Raw genomic sequence first — 17,159 nt, forward strand, 5'->3', positions numbered from 1 at the left:
AAATCTTTGGGTTTTTCCCAATATAAGATCCTATCATCTGAAAACAAATATAGTTTGACTTCTGCCTTTACAATGTGGATGCCCTTTATTTCTTTCTCTTCTCTGATTGCTTTAGCTAGGACTTCCAATACTATGTTGAATAACAGTGTTGAAAGTGGACATCCTTGTCTTCTTCCAGATCTTGAAGAAAAGTTTTAATTTATTTCTCATTCAGTATGATACTAGCTGTGGGTCTGTCACATGTGGTTTTTATATACCCAGATTTTTTAGGGCTTTGAAATTAGGGCTTAGAGATGTTGAATTTTATATAATCCTTTTCAGCATCAATTGAAATGATTCTGGGTTTTTGTCCTTCATTCTGTTTATATGACATATCCATATCACATTGATTGATTTGTGTATGTTGAGCCATCCTTGCATCCCAGGAATAAATCCCGCTTGGTCATGATGAAAAAATTTTTTAACGTGTTGTTAAATTCGGTTTAATAGCATTTGGTTGAGGATTTTTGCATCGATGTTCATCAAGGATATTGGTCTATAGTTTCACTGATGTGTCTTTGTCTGGTTTTGGTATCAAGATAATACTAGCCTTGTACTGGTAATGTTACAGGATTCCTTTGGAGCCGCTTCACCAGCCAGAAAGCTCTGCAGCTGCTCCCACCTCTGCCCAGGCCTCACTCGGGGCCCCCTGGGTTCGCTCAGCCCGCTCAGCCAGGCAGGCCTCTCTTGGCTCACATCCCCTGCCCGTATCCTGCAACCTCAGCAGCTCCGTGCTCAGCCCACAGCTGGAACGGCGTGGGGTGAGCAGCTTCCACCTTGGGCGCCAGTGTCTAGTTGAGGGGAACGCAGTGGCACCCTAAAACCCAGAGATGCCAGCAATTGTGGGGCCCCAAGGGGTGTTATAACTCTTGCTCGGAAAGTCCCAAGGTCTAAGCCCCCAAGAGATGTTGCAGCTCTTCACTCCCATAGCTTGGCGAGTGGGAGCATGTCACAGCTCTCCTTCTCCTGTGGTCCAGTGAGCAGGAGCACGTTCAGCTCTTTCATTCTCACTGCGCGTCCTGTGTGGTCCAGTGAGCAGGAGCATGTCACAGCTCTCTTTCTCCTGTGGTCCAGCGAGCAGGAGCATGTCACAGCTCTCTTTCTCCTGTGGTCCAGCGAGCAGGAGCATGTCACAGCTCTCCTTCTCCTGCGGTCCAGCGAGCAGGAGCACGTTACAGCTCTTTTACTCTCACTGCGCGCCACTGGGCAGGTTCCAAATTCATGTCCTGAGACCAAGAGGAATAAGGTGCGTGGACACTGGAGAGTGAATAAGGCAGATAATAATTTTATTGAGTGACAGAAGGAAAGCTCTCAGCTGTGAGAGGGGACCCGAGAGTGGGTAGCCCTTCATGTGGCTGGGTCTGGGGTTATGCTGGACTTAGAACGGTGGAGTGTGGGCTGATTGGTTCATGGGTGGGCGTGGAAAAACCACCATTCGATTGATTAAAAGGTATCATCCACAAGGAACCCGTCGAGAGAGAGAGGGTAGGACGGGGTTAGAAGTTGTCCCTTGGATCGTGCACTCCATCTGGAACTGGCAGATGGGTTTTCAGGCTGTAAACTGTCTTTTGCTTGAAGGTCAGATTTCACTGAGGACCCATCCCTGTCTGCCTAGGAATTTGTCTGTCTCCTGTCGCTATCAGTAATGCTGGCCTCATACATACTGAATAGCTTTAGTAGGATTTGTATTTTTTTTCTTTAAATATTTGGTAAAATTTAGCAGGAAAACCACTGGGTCCTGGACTTTTCTTTGCCGGAAGGCTTTTTATTACAGCTTCAATCTCATTACCTGTTATTGGTCTGTTCAGGTTTTGGATTTCTTTATGGTTCAGTCTAGGTAGGATGTATGTGTCTAGGAACTTAACAATTTCTTCTAGGTTTTCCGATTTATTGGCATACCGCTGCTCATAGTAGCCTCTAAGGATCCTTTGAATTTCTGTAGTATCAGTTGTAATGTTTCAGTTTTCATCTCTGATTTTATTTATTGAGATATTCTCTCTTTATGTCTTAGTCTGGCTAAAGTTTTGTCGATTTTATTTATCTTTTTGAAAAAACAACTTTTTGTTTCATTGATCATTTGTATTGTTTTCTTTCTTTCATTTATTTCTGCTCTAATCTTTCTTATTTCTTTTCTGCTACTAATTTTTGATTTGGATTGCTCTTGCTTTTCTAGTTCTTTAAGATATACCTTTAGGTTGTTTATTTAAAGTTTATCCACTTTTTTTGAGGCATTTACTGCTATAAACTTTCCTCTTGGTACTACTTTTGCAGTATTCCATAGTTGTTGGTATATTGTGTTTCCATTTTCACTTGCTTCAAAAAATTTCCTAATTTCCTTCTTCATTTCTTATTGACCCATTGGTCATTCAGAAGCATTGTTTAATTTCCATGTTTGTGCAGTTAACAAAGTTTCTCTAGTCACTAATTTCTAGTTTTATTCTATTGTGGTCAAAGAAGATACCTGATATGATTTCAGTAGTTTTGAATTTTGTAAGACATGTTTTGTGGCCTATCAAACGATCTATCCTTGAGAATGTTCCCTGTGCTGAAGAGAAGAATGTGTATTCTGTAGCTGTTGGATAAAATGTTCTGTAAATATCCATTGGGTCCATTGGGTCTATAGCGCAGATTAAATCTGATGCTTCTTTGTTGATTTTCTATCTGGATAATCTGTCGAATGCTGAGAGTGGGGTGTTGAAGTCTCCAGCTATTACTATATCGGGGTCTATCTCTCTCTTTAGCTGTATAATATTATTGGCTTTACAACATTCTCAGCAAACTAACACAGGAACAGAAAACCAAACACCACATGTTCTCACTCATAAGTAGGAGCTGAACAATGAGAACACATGGACACAGGGAGGGGAACATCACGTACCAGGCCCTGTTTGGGGTAGGGGACAAGGGGAGAACATTAGGACAAATACCCAATGCATGTGGGGCTTAAAACCTAGATAATGGGTTGATAGGTGCAGCAAACCACCATGGCACATGTATACCTATGTAAGAAACTGGCATGTTCTGCACATGTATCCCAGAAGTTAAAGTAAAATTAAAAATAATAATAATAATATTGGCTTTACATATCTACATGCTTCTGTGTTGGACGAATACATATTCACAACTGTTATATCCTCTTGTCTAATTGATCTCTTTATGATTATATAACGATCTCCTTTGTCTCTTTTTGTAGTTTTTGTTTTGAAGTCTATTTTTTTCTGACATAAGTATAGCTACTACTGCTCTTTTTTGATTTCCATTCATATGGAATACCTTTTGCTATCCTTTTATTTTCAGTCTATATGTGTCTTTATAGGTGAAGTGCATTTCTTGTAGGCAACAGATGATTCGGTCTTGTTTTTTTCTTCATTTTGTTTTCATTTTTGTTTTAATTCATTCAGCCACTCTGTGTCTTTTGATTCTAGAATTTAGTCCATAGATATTCAATGTCATTATTGAAAAGTAAGGACTTACTCCTGCCATTTTTTACTGGTTTACTGGTTATTTTGTGGTGCTCTCTGTCTTCTTGTTTTCATTCCTGTCTTCCTTTCAGTGAAGATGATTTTCTCTGTTGGTATGTTTTATTCTCTTGCTTTTTATTTTTTGTGTCCACTGTCATATGCTTTTTGAGTTAAGATTACTATGCATGCAAATGCTTTTTGTGTGTCTGAATCTCTCTGTCTCTCACTTTTATTTCTCTCTCTCAAGGTTTATTTAGCTAAATACTACTAATTCTGATTATCTCAGTTTAAATAAAACTCTCATAAGGAAGCCTATTCTGATCCTTTTCTGTCAGCATTAAATGTCTTTTGTAATGTACACCAATAGCTCATAGCACACTCCTCCTCCTTTAGTTATGTACATTATCAATATTCATTTAATTGTAAATACCTGTTTTTGTAGCCAGAGAGCAATCTCCCTAAGTGCAGAGAGAAGACGGTAATGTTCATCATGTTATCTCATATGCCTAGAGTACTGCCTGTCTCCCAGTTAGAGTACAATATGTATTTGTAGAAAGGAGAGGGGCGTGAGTTAAAGATAAAGTGACTAATTTATGCCACCTATCAATAAAGTTCATCTCTTTAAAGGATTTTCTCAGCTTAAGAAGTAGATGTGCTTTATACAAATTGAAAGGTGAAAATAAGCATCTTAAAGCTCACTTTCAGCCATTAGTTACATTAAGAACTTGGATTCATGTCTGAACTAAAAATATACCTAATCAATTAATTTCTTTTTGAAAAATGATAGGATAATATAGGTTTATTGGTTTATTTCCAGTACCCTTATACATTTTTTTTTCATGGGTGTATGCATGCATGCAATGACTAAGCATACAGAATTGCTTGTGAAAATTCTGGCCATTTCTCTAATACTGAATTTATTTCACCTTATACTATGGTGCAGGCAGATGATCATAGATTGTCTTAAAGCCACCACAGCAAATTCTTCTTACTACAATGTAGAGGCAAAGACAAATTCAGAAGCATGAACTATGCATATCAGCCTGAGTTCAAGAAGTTTTACATATAGCAAATACATTTTTAAATCATAAGTGATAAAATTATAAGCTTTCTCTCCCTTCATGTCATAATGGATCTAAATCCCTGTATCTCAGACTACCCACCTTGTCCTTAAAAATGTGATCAATAGAAATAATATCAAATCGAGCACTGGAAAGTCCTTTTCACATGATTTATGATGCTAATAAAAGTGTTTTTAGATAAGAAATATAACGAGAGAGCTTGTTAGTACCTCTCATAATACTTGTTATCATTAACATTTACTCATACCAGCTCCTTCCTGCCTTGCACTACATAGAAGACAAACCATTGTTCTCTGTGAGAGTTTTTTTTTAATTTTTATGAACTACAGGCACAGAAATCAAATTATCATGTTTGCCCACTCTTTCTGCACTGGAAGTTAGGCATATTTATTAGCTACAACACAGCATTTCAAGTTGGCATTTAGATCATTTCAATAACTAATGTTTGTTTTATCAACAATGGTTTAATTTGACATGCTGCATAATGCATGCGCAATAACAGTGCCATGTTTGATGGATAAATGCCTAGGAAAAAAATTCAAATTGGCTAATAAATAAAATTGAATTTCAGGACCCCATTTATTTTAAGGAAACTTGTCACGGGTTATTAACTGTACTAAATAACGGCTTGTTTATGTCGGTGCATAAATAATTTGAAACAAATCGGGGTGACATAGGAACTATCATACTTCACTTACTGGTAAATGCAAGTGAAAGCAAGATTCCTTCACTCCTGATCACCAGAGCTGGTATTTTTCAGAAATGATTTCTACTTGTTGACAAGATTAGGACCAAAACTTAAACAAGCTTTCATACTTTTAATATAAATCTATTATTTAGACATCCGGAATTTCTACCAATAGGAAATTAAACTGAAATTCTGACTCTAGACCAATGGTTTTTTGATTTCACTACATACTAAAATTAAGTGGGATAGTTTTTTATGTTATTATAATGCTGATGTTTTGGTTCTCATTCTGGAGATTCTAAATCAATTGGTGTAGATGGTTTATTTATTGCTGCTCTTTTTTATTATTTTGCTTTTGAAAATCAGTTGTATTGTTTGCTTGATTTTTTAACCCACAAGCAATTATAAATGCAAAGCCAGGATTGAGAATTTCTGCTCTAACACAGTGTTCTGGTCACTACTGCACATCAATTCATGGAATTCACTTGGGTAACTGAGATCAAATTGTTTAATAATAATAATCATCCCCTTCAATAAAGAGTTTTCTGAGCAAGCCTTTTTAGTACCATGAAATTCTGGTTCTAAGGGGATTACCAAGATAGTATTTGTTCTAAAGAAGTTTATGTATAGAAACACAAGTGATAATATTGAAAGACAAAATAAGATAATTGCCCCAAGTGAAATGCAAACAGTTTATGAGAGCATATCTAGACATAAGGAAGGGCCAAAAAATAATTTTTGGAATATGTGGAATTCAGTCAGCCTTGCCAATAAATACAGTTACATAGTTTCACCTTGTTAATGCCTTTATACTTCATAATCTCACAATAATTCAGTTAAGCAAACCAAGTATTTTTACTTTATTAATGATAAAAACAATAATTCCATGTGTGCATTCTGTTTTACAGTGTGCAAACAGGTTTAGATATGTCATCACTTTCGAGGCTCACAACATATGGGTATGCAATTCAGTATTCCTATTTTGGGATGAGGAGTCAGAGGCTCAGAATGTAAATGAATTATCCAATTTACAAAGCCAGCAAGTGCCAGAGTTGAGTATAAGATGAGTCCTCCTGAGTCCTACATAGTTCAGACCTTTTTAAGCATTGCAATTTGAAGTTGAGAATTTGCTGAGCTTGGGTTAGATTCCAGGTCTCTTAAAACTGAACTGCTCTCTTAGGATATGCTCTGCCACACAAACACTTAATGTTACATATTTCCAGTAACTATAGCTCAATGCCTTTTTAGAAAAATAACTTTTCAAAAGGTAATTGGAAACTGATACTCTAATGTATTTTTTAAAGCACAATACCAGCAAATTCACTACCTTACCACTTTTATCCAAATCTAACTTTTCTTATTCTTTGTATAAACTATGAAATCATACTTAATACCTAGATCTTGGAAAATTTTAAAAGCTGAGTTAATGTAGAAACTATAAAAGCTCAAGAGAGATAGAAGTCATTGAGTGTTAGCTTTGGATATCTCCCTTCTGATAGTTCAGTTCTGTCCAACAGGTAGGAACACCTTGTGTGATTCATCAGGGGCCACGTGTGGTTGCTCTGTAGCTCTTCATTCTGTGGCTTCCATGATGTGTTATTAGCATTTTTTTTCTGAGATTTCCACTCAGATTTCCACAGAAAAGCTGTTATACTAACAGTTATGACTTATTTCTGCTAAAAGATGCAGGTTAGAAAGCAAAGGCAACTAATTAGAGTGGAGTTCTGAGCTTCCTGTTGTCCTCTCCCAGAGGAGTCACACGAACTGTGCTTACTCCTCCAAACAAAGATATGTAATAACATGTAAGACATATTGCCAACCAAGGAAGCTCTTCTAAGCCTTGAATTTAGAGAGGTTTTTTGTTTGTTTAAGAGACAGGCCCTTGCTATGTTGCCTAGCCTTGAGGGCAATGAATAGTGGCTATTCATAGGTGCAATCATAGTGCACTACAGCTCAAACTCCGGGGCCCAAGTGATCCTCCTGCCTTAGTCTCTCAAGTAGCTGTGACTACAGGCATGTGCCACTGTGTCTAAGTCTAAAGTTCTTATTGTGGCTCAGTCAAATAGGCATGGATGGCCTAGGTCACTGACCTTAGCTACTCAGTCTCCAGTCTCCAACCCTATTCCCAAGAATCAAACCTACACAGTGTGGCCCAGGGCATTGGATATATATATATCCAATATTTAATCTTCAGATATATTCACTATAAGTCACATTGTTAGGATGAACTAACTAGCGTGGTCCAAAGCCCCAGGTATGAAAAGATACTCTTATCAAGCAGGCTATTCTAAGGGCTTAGAGATCATCTCCCCGAAACCTGAAAAGGGCCCATCCTTTCTTTAAATGTGCAGGGTTTGACTAACCCAAGCCTAGTAAGTTAACCCTTTATTGTATATATATATATATATAAGGATTATGACTTGTGATTTGTCTTGAATGGGGAACCCCTGGATTAAAGTTTACTTTCCATTTGCAACTCATTTTTTATCGTATGAAACTTTATAATCTAAACAAAGAATCTTTCTGAAACTTAGTAAGGATTATATCTGTTTGGGTTTTATATTTTTCTATAGATTGGTTTTATTGTTGTTACTGTTACAATGGTATTAAGAGATAGTTCAGTATATCTCATATGATATTGTTAATCTTCATTTATTTTTCATTCAATAATTAGTAGAATTTGGCAATGGAAAAGGATAACTATGAAGACAGCTACTTCATGGACTAGTCGAAAAAGCTAGAGAGTTTTTTTGGTGTGTTCAGCCCTTCTTCTATTCCATTTGGTGAATGATTAAAGACCTATAGACCACCTGTATTAGTCTGTTTTTATGCTGCTATAAAGAAATATCCAAGACTATGCAATTTATAAAGAAAAGAGATGTAACTGATTTACAGTTCTGCATGGCTGGGGAAGCCTCAGGAAACTTTTAGTCATGGTGGAAGGCACTTCACAGTGAGGCAGGAGAGAGAATGAGAGCTTAGCAAAGGAGGAAATGCCCCTTATAAAACCATCACCCCATGATTCAATTACCTCCCACTGGGTAACTCCCACAACATGTGGGAGTTATGGGAACTACAATTCAAGATAAGATTTGGGTGGGGACACAGCCACAGCATATCACCACCGAACTTCCAGGAAGTGTGGCAAAATGACCCTCAAAGACAACTTTAAAGGCTTCCTAGAAGAATAATTATACTTTGTCTCCAGTCACAGCAAAGACTCACAAACCAGAGCCAGGGAGGACTAGCTTCTTTCGACCCCATCTGACTTGCAATCAGCTTGACCCAGCAATAACAATATCTGTCCCTAGAATTTTTTGGAAGAATTAGTGAGGTCATAAATGGAAAAGTATTACCCCATGCTTGGCATGTTGTAAATGCCCATTACATAGAGACTGCTGTTATTTTTACCATTACTGTTGATTATAATAAAGCCTAGTAATTTATAGGTGGTTTTCACAAATACTGTTTCATTAATTGGAGTATTATGACACTTTTCCACACAAAGGAAATTAAAACTAAAAAATTCAGGACATAGGAAATAGGATATATATATATAAATATATATATAATCTCATACATATATCAGCAATTATATATATAATTTTCTCATCTCTCCTTATGCTATAAAATACAAGCAGCTGTTGACATTTTTGACAACTTTAAACACTTTTGTCTGTGACTCTTCAAACTACCTGATAATTCCTTGAACATAATGCTCCAATGGGGGAAAAATAGTGTTTAGCTTTCTCATATGTGTATTCTTTTAAAATATTAGAGCATTTCTCTTGTGTATTAGTTCCTGGCACCTAATATACCTAATACACAAATGTACAATATTACATTTAATCACAATTGACGGATCCTGATAAAAAGTGAATACATGGATACTTTCACTAGATAGCTTTTCCAGTGTAAATAATGTTTCAAATAGCATTCGTTTTTAATTTTACTATGTCACTATATTATTTGAATAGATTGATAGGAGAGCCCACAAGAAAAACTAAAGTGTGTTCACCCCCAGGAGTAATTCAGCACAGAGATTCCCTTAACATCTGTTCCACTAAAAAGAAATAATTTTTAAGGGCCACTTGGAGAGTAAGTAATCATAAACCTCTGAGCATTTAAGTTAAAAGAGAGAGTGAGAGAAAAAGGAAAGAAAAAAATAGGCCGGGCGCGGTGGCTCACGCCTGTAATCCCAGCACTTTGGGAGGCCGAGGCGGGCGGATCACGAGGTCAGGAGATCGAGACCATCCTGGCTAACACGGTGAAACCCCGTCTCTACTAAAAATACAAAAAATTAGCCGGGCGTGGTAGCGGGCGCCTGTAGTCCCAGCTACTTGGGAGGCTGAGGCAGGAGAATGGCGTGAACCCGGGAGGCGGAGCTTGCAGTGAGCCGAGATCGCGCCACTGCACTCCAGCCTGGGCGACAGAGCGAGACTCCGTCTCAAAAAAAAAAAAAGAAAAAAATAGCCTCTAGTCTTTCAAATTATCTCTGTGTCTCCTAATGAATTGCCATGGAGCAATTTCTTTTCTTACGGTGAACTTTTAAAAAGATATCGAGTTTATGTTTCTTCTTCATTTTATTCACATTCTGTTCTCCAGTTTGATAGAGCCACTATTTGAGGTCATTCATGAGCACTGCCATATTTGGAGTATTCTTCTCCATACAGTAAGGATATTAAAGTTATTGTCTAACTCCAGCATATTATCATTACAAAGTAGCACACACCATTAGAGAGAGACTCAGTGAAGGACATTATCATTATGTATTAGCACACATCATTAGACAGGAGTTTCAACTGCAAAACCTACTGAGGAGGATAGATTCATAACATCACAGCCCTCCTGGGTAATATAACTCAAAACTGTTAAATCATTCAGCCGAGGTGAGCTCGGAACCCATGATTGGCACCTAACATCACTTTGAGCTTTCAGTGGCTATTTACTTTGTGAGAAACAGTTCTTTTTCCTGATTTGGAAGAAAGTCTTAAGGAAGCACCCAAGGAATTTTATCTTAATTCAGCCCAGGTAAAACTCATTACAAATTAATAATAATAAAAAATAATTATAATAATTAACAGTGGTGCTTGGCTTAAGGCTTGGAAATATAAAACATATGTCTAGTTGGGAAATTGAACATTTAAATATTTTTGTACCAGTAGATACAGGGAATTATAAATGATGCTCAGTGAACTTATCTAAATGAAACAAAAGAAATAACCTCATGTTTTCTTTTAAAATCTTAGCATTAAGTAATGTCAAAGTGATGTTTCTTTGTCCCACCAAATGTCAAGGTTATTTGTATATGATATGACTAAATGCCATTTCTCCATGAGGATTTTCTTAATATGCTGTTTATTCTCATGAAACATTAATGTACTCTATGAATATTTGCCTATGAAAAGGAAAAGCTACAAATTTTACAGTTCTCAGATGAAGATTAATCTTGAATGAGATTAACTTGCATCATTTGCATTTTCTATGGATAACGAAAAATCATTCGTAAATAAAAGGTTTATCGTGGAGCAAAAAAAATGGTATGTTCGAGGATGTAACTTTCATCTAAACCGCATTCTAGGAGTTAGTAGTTGCTGTATTTTACATGACTGAGAATATTTTAGCTCCTAATTCAGCATAGAAATATAAAATTAGGGGTAAACCTGATAAAATATATCAATTAATTACCCAATACTAATTTTTATGTGTTTAATATTTGTCTTTTTAAAACTGCTCGGTCACCAATAGATACAAAGTTATGAAATAATACATATAGTTTATATGTACATATCTGTATAGCTATTTCTATACATTATGGCCAGTGGCAAAAATTTATGGGTTCTTAACTAGCTTATAAATACTAAAGCTTAGGGACCAGTTCCAATTCTATATTATAAGTAAGAAATAACAAAACGCCGGTCTTGGGTACATACTAACAGTCAAAATAAAATACTCTCTAACTATTGGAGTAGTATGCACGTGCTACCGAGGCAACTGCTAAACCTAAATGGTTTCATGTTTTGTTTTTAATTTTAGATGTATAAAGAAATATCCAAATCATTAGAAACATCATGTATAGGAATGAACAGGAGAAAGTCACTTATGTGCACGGCTGACTCTGTTGCGATTTTCAGTCCTTGAAAGGTCACTGAGAGGGGAAGGGGACATACAAAAGTTTTAATACTCATTTCACCAGAAGGAAACCTCCTAAACACATACACATATCTTTTTTAGTTTATGCTTTTTTTTTTTTTCAGGCAAGGGAATAATTCCAGCTGATCATTTATTCTTTATTAAATGGTTGTATGTTACAGATTTGTGTGGCATGTCATTTTATTGCTTTACTTACAGTGCATTGTGGGATTTTACTGTTTGTAAATAAGTATTGCTGTGTGTACTCATATCCTTTTTGGCAGATAGAAGATTCTTACACGCTTTGGTCTGTTAAGATCTCAGAAGGCTATACATTCAGTGCATAACTGCATTCTGCTTTGCATTATGTGCTGAAAATGGTTTTACCCAAATCTCTGCAAATACCACATCTTAAAAGGCTGGTAAAGCCAAGAATGGTGAATAGCTCTGATGATTCCAAGTCCTTTGAACATCTTTATGACCTATTAAGAACTACTGGATATTGAATTCAAATCCTAACTTCACCATCTACCAAGTGTGAAAACTTGGACAAATTCTTAACTTTTCTGAACCCTGAGTTCCTCATCTGTAAATGAAAATAATAATAGCACCCACTTCATATGTGTTACTGTGAGGTTTAAATGAGTTAATATTTGTTAACCACTTAGAAAATAGTTCCTGAAAAATAGGTACCACATAAGTACTTGTTACTGCTATTAGTTTTAATTCAGGGAGATTTTAAAAATAAAATTATTTTAAATCTAGTTTATGAAATTAAACTGTACACAAATACAGACTCCACAGTATGGCAGTAATGCATAATAAAATGCCAAACAAAAATTTTAATTATGATGAACTGCTTGTCAAATGATTAACTATACAAATATCTCAGTGACACCATTGTAAGCCGTGTGGTTCATATATGCTTTCTTGTTTGGGTTTGACCTCTCCCATTCCTTCTTTATTATACCACTTATTCAAACCATCCCTTAGTCTCCTTAAGACCCTATACTGACCTTGTATCCTTCTTTGTGAATAAGATCTATTCTTGTGGCTCATGTGTGTAATCCCAGTACCTTGGGAGGCTGAGGCAGGAGGACTGATTGGGCTCTAGAGTTTGCGACTAGCCTGGACAACATAGCAAGACCTCATATCTACTAAAAAAAAGAAAGGAAGGAAGGAAGGAAGGAAGGAAGGAAGGAAGGAAGGAAGGAAGAAAGAAAGAAAGAAAGAAAGAAAGAAAGAAAGAAAGAAAGAAAGAAAGAAAGAAAGAAAGAAAGAAAGAAAGAAAACATAGCCAGGTGTAGTGGTGCATACCTGTAGTCCCAGCTACTTGGGAGGCTAAGGTGGGAGGATTGCTTGAGCCCAGGAGTTCAAGGATAGCATGAGCCATGATCATGCCACTGCCCTCCAGCTGGAGCAAAAGAGCAAGACCCTGTCTCAAAAATGAAAAATTTATTCTATCTTATTGTTCTATTTAACAGTCCCATCCCCTATCACCCATCACTTTATCTACAACAGGAGTCATTCAAAAAACTAAAGAGCCAGGTAGTTCAAAATGCAAGATTCTTCATTGCCTGGTCCAAATCTGTCTTTCCAGTTTCAATCCCCATCATTTCCTTAATGCCTGCTCTGCCCCAGTCATTGACCACCAGGATCTCCCCAAATGTGCTGTTCTCTTTCCAAACCTCTGAGAACTTGCACATATTGTTTCTTTGCCTACAATCTCTCTCCTATCCACTTGTCAAGCTTCTATGTATACTTTATTACTTGGCTTACAATGTGGTTTCTATTCCCAAAAGAGTGCCAAGAAACTACATATGTTGCAGGCACCTGTCAATAAAGAAAATCCTACCATTGAATCCAAGTCAGGCGCTGAGGTCCTGATATCCAGTGACAGGCTTCCCCGATGTGAGAGCCTTCCTCCGCTGTGTATTTCAGCCATGCTCCACAGATCTTGCAATCTTACCCTTTCTCTCTCACTCCTCTGGTACTATCTACTCTCTTCACTCAAGAACCAGTGAAGCATCAATGCATGTACTATCTGAAATCTTTCAGGCGTAAAAGTAGTTATGGCTTTTTCTACTGTGCTCCCATACACTTGCGACTGAATAACAAAACTTTAGGCTTAAATACTTTTTCAGTATGTACATTGACTAGAGCATTTTTATGCACATTTGGGGTGTACTGAGGGACACAAAATGCTAGAGAAACACTACAGAAATAACTTTTTTCCAGGTAGCTAAGAACAGAAGAGCTATCTTGCCAATGTGCTCGGGTTTATTTTTGTCTGCTGAGGCATTGGTGCACTAGATGGGTTTTTGAGGTTTAATGAGTCTCATTGGTTCTAATTAGAGTAACCTTGGTAGAAACAGATATTATTACTCTGCAAATCATGGCTAAATTGCTGTTAAATAATTTGCATTCTATTACATGCTTTATGTGCTAATACAGACGGAAGCATCCAGGACCAAGTCCTTAAGTATTTACTAATGCATACCAGCAATTTTAGCCTCACGTAATAAGGATTTAAAATGTGTCTGACACATTTTATCCAACCTACACTCTAAAGTATCTTTGCAAGTAATTAGATACGTCATGCACTGCAGCCTTAAACAGGCACAATTTTGTCTATACTTCCAGAACCTACATTATTCTGAAATCTTTAACAACATAAGGTTTAGATACCATTTGCATTGAGTACCCACTAGGTGCCGACTCTTTTAAAGTGCATTTTTAGTTTCATTATCTCAACTTTGTAATGTTGGCATCATTATTCCCATTTTACAGAAGATAAAATTGAAGCAAAGTCAAGTTTAGGGGATTTTCAAGGTTGTACAGTACAACTGGGTGACAAAATTTTTGCTCTTTCAATGATAATGAGGCCTCTGACATCTTCCTTTCTCATAAGACTACATTTAGTATAACTTATATATTTTATCAGTCAACAACTATCTTTTGAGAACTTGTACACCCAGGACTGTGTAATGGGCTGTTGGTTTTATACAGAATTATAAGAATACTCTCTTTCCTTTCTCCATTAAAAAAAAAGCGATTATGTTCTCACCTGAAGAAGATTATGAATACGTGAACATAATTGTGTAAGAATTAACTGCTAATGTATTAATTTCAACCATTACACTCTTTTATAAGTTTTTATTTCACATGTCATAAATTGCAACAAAGAATTTAGGATATAAGGATTGCTTACCTTTACCACACGTTTTTAAATTTAGTCTTAGGGTCAAGAACGGGCAGAACCTGGTAAGTGGTGCTTGTTTTCTCAGCTGAGTCCCTTCCGGGTCAAAGTTATGTTTGGGTGAATCTGATTGGTAGCCTCAAGTCACATGAGTATGTTTTCCTCTTCAAGGTGCTTATAGAGCCAGGCTTTCTCTTTTATATTAATTCATAACTCTTGAAATTTCCCCCCAAGAAATGGTATTTCTCATTGCCCAGAAAGCATCACAAATGTACATTAGAATGTCTTTATAGAGGCCGGGCGCGGTGGGCTCACACCTGTAATCCCAGAACTTTGGAAAGCCGAGGCGGGCGGATCGCCTGAGGTTAGGAGTTTGCCACCAGCCTGGCCAACGTGGTGAAACCCCGTCTCTACTAAAAATACAAAAAATTAGCCGGGCATGGTGGCATCCCTGTAATCCCAGCTGCTCAGGAGGCTGAGGGAGGAGAATCGCTTGCACCTGGGAGGCTGAGCTTGCAGTGAACTGAGATCGCGCTATTCTTTCCAGCCTGAGTGACAGAGTGAGACTCCGTCTCAAAAAAAAAAAAAAAAAAAAAAAAAAAAAAAAAAAAAAGAATATCCTTATAGAAAACTGTGATATCTGGAAAATGAATTTTGAAAAATACTTGTCTACTAGTCCAACCACCAAGATGACTAAATAAATAGTAAGTCTTATAAATTGTAATATTTGGGGGTTTAGCCATGCGGTTCTAAATCATTTCTAATGCTATAGCTTCTAATCACAAGTTTGCATTTATCTTTTCCCGTCATAATCCATTTAATGCAGTTGCCCTAATCCATCTCCTCGCCTCATTTTTTTCTAGTAAAATAACAGAACTTAGATCTATCAATTTTGTACACTGATTTGTCCCCATGATGCCAAAAAGGTGGATGTAAAATACTAATTTAATAAAATTCCCTGTTATATAGCAGAATTTAATCTTTAGCCAAAGAAATCATAAATCTCTCAAGCCAGCTTGTGTGTGGAAACCACGGCTTTTTTTCATTTTCTACTCACCATGTTTATATTAGCTTCTTTTTAAGAAGCCTGTATTGTAAAACATATAACTAAAGACTACATGAAATGTATTAAACAACTTACTCAATATTGTGCGAGTTTCTATTCTAGGCACCAGAGTTACTGCAGCAAACAACACAGCCAGATGTCATTTTTTGTAAAGCATACATGTACTATGGGGGCCAAAAAAATAAGCAAATAATCAAGGAAAATATGTTTTGAATTCGGTGGTATTACGTGCAGCAGGAAAAAAAAAATATCAAAAAGTTTGGAAAATGCAAGAAGAGGGAGCTTTAAGTAGGGTGGTTAGAGAAGGCTAAAAAAGGAAGTAAAGGAGGAAGTTACGTGGATCTATGAGAAAAAGATATTCCTGGCAGAGCAAAAGCTCCAGAACTTCAATATGCTTGACATGTTTGAGGGACAGCAAAGGAATCAGTACAGCTGGCAAATAAAAGGCATATTAGCAGGAAGCGCAACGTTGTGGGGGAAAAGGGAGTCGTATCATACAGGACTTGTAAGCCAATATACAACCTTTGGTTCTTACTCAGGGAAATGGGAAACCACTGAGAGATTTTAACAGATGAAAATGTGATTTTTTTTTCGAAGGATTCTATTGCCTTTGGTGTGTTAAAAAGAGTGAAGGGTAAGGGCAAAGGTCAAAGCAGGCAACTGATCCAGTGACATGATCCAGGTGAAAGTTAGATTATTGCAATAGCCCAGTGTGGGAGTAGCAGAGATAGTGAGAGGTACTTTGCATCAGCTTGTATTCTCAGATTGTGTCAACAAAGTTTGGATGATAGATCTAATAGATCCAGAAGCAGAAGACTTTAAGAATAAGATAATTCCAAAGTTTTTGTTTCAGCAACTGAAAGGATGGGGTCACCATGTATTGAAATGGAAAACACTGTCATAAAATGGTTTTGAGGGAGAAGATCAGGAGTCAGGGTTTTAGATGTTAAGATTGTTGTTTTCACTATGTGAAGGTGTAAGCAGAAGTTGTATATATAAATCTGGACTTCTGGGGAGTGGTGTGCGGTAGAGATATAAACTGGGAAGTTTCCAGTATAGCAAACATATCTGGAGGCTGAGCCTGGAGAAGACAATACATAGAGAAGACACAGAGCAAAACAGAGATGAGTTTAGGCTGATGGAAAATAAAGTAGCACCTGCCCAAATGAGATTGCTGAGAAGGGATCAAAAAAGTACCAAGAAAATGAGGAGAGATAAAGAAGTATTTTGTGGAAGGAGTGATCAAACATGTCTAATGTTGCTGCTAGGTCAATGACATGATACATAGCATGTATAGTTTAAATAATTACAGTGATAACAGCAATAAAGCCAACATCTCTATCCATTATCAGCTTAGGAAATAGTGTATTCTCTTTCTTAACTTATTGTCATTTAGAATCTTTTATCTTTTTTTTTTTCTTTTGAGACGGAGTCTCACTCTGTCGCCCAGGCTGGAGTGCAGTGGCGTGATCTCTGCTCACTGCAAGTTCCG

At 37.0% G+C, this 17,159-nt stretch overlaps 1 protein-coding gene across 29 annotated transcripts in view, besides 1 other annotated feature; it reads left to right on the plus strand.

Annotated features, from left to right (window-relative positions):
- ROBO2 (roundabout guidance receptor 2) overlaps nucleotides 1–17,159 on the plus strand; it is a 1,743,290-nt gene that overhangs the window by 702,946 nt on the left and 1,023,185 nt on the right. The gene's annotated exons all lie outside the window — the stretch shown is intronic.
- Nucleotides 11,497–11,666: an enhancer, noted in NCBI's record as "experimental_71345 CRE fragment used in MPRA reporter constructs". NCBI's record gives its function as "activates a minimal promoter by MPRAs in K562 erythroleukemia cells, with activity observed for both the introgressed and non-introgressed 3:76670353 variant alleles {active_cell/tissue: K562}" and the evidence as "EXISTENCE:reporter gene assay evidence [ECO:0000049][PMID:34662402]".

This window comes from Homo sapiens, chromosome 3, assembly GCF_000001405.40.
Source record: "Homo sapiens chromosome 3, GRCh38.p14 Primary Assembly".
Lineage (NCBI taxonomy): Eukaryota > Metazoa > Chordata > Mammalia > Primates > Hominidae > Homo > Homo sapiens.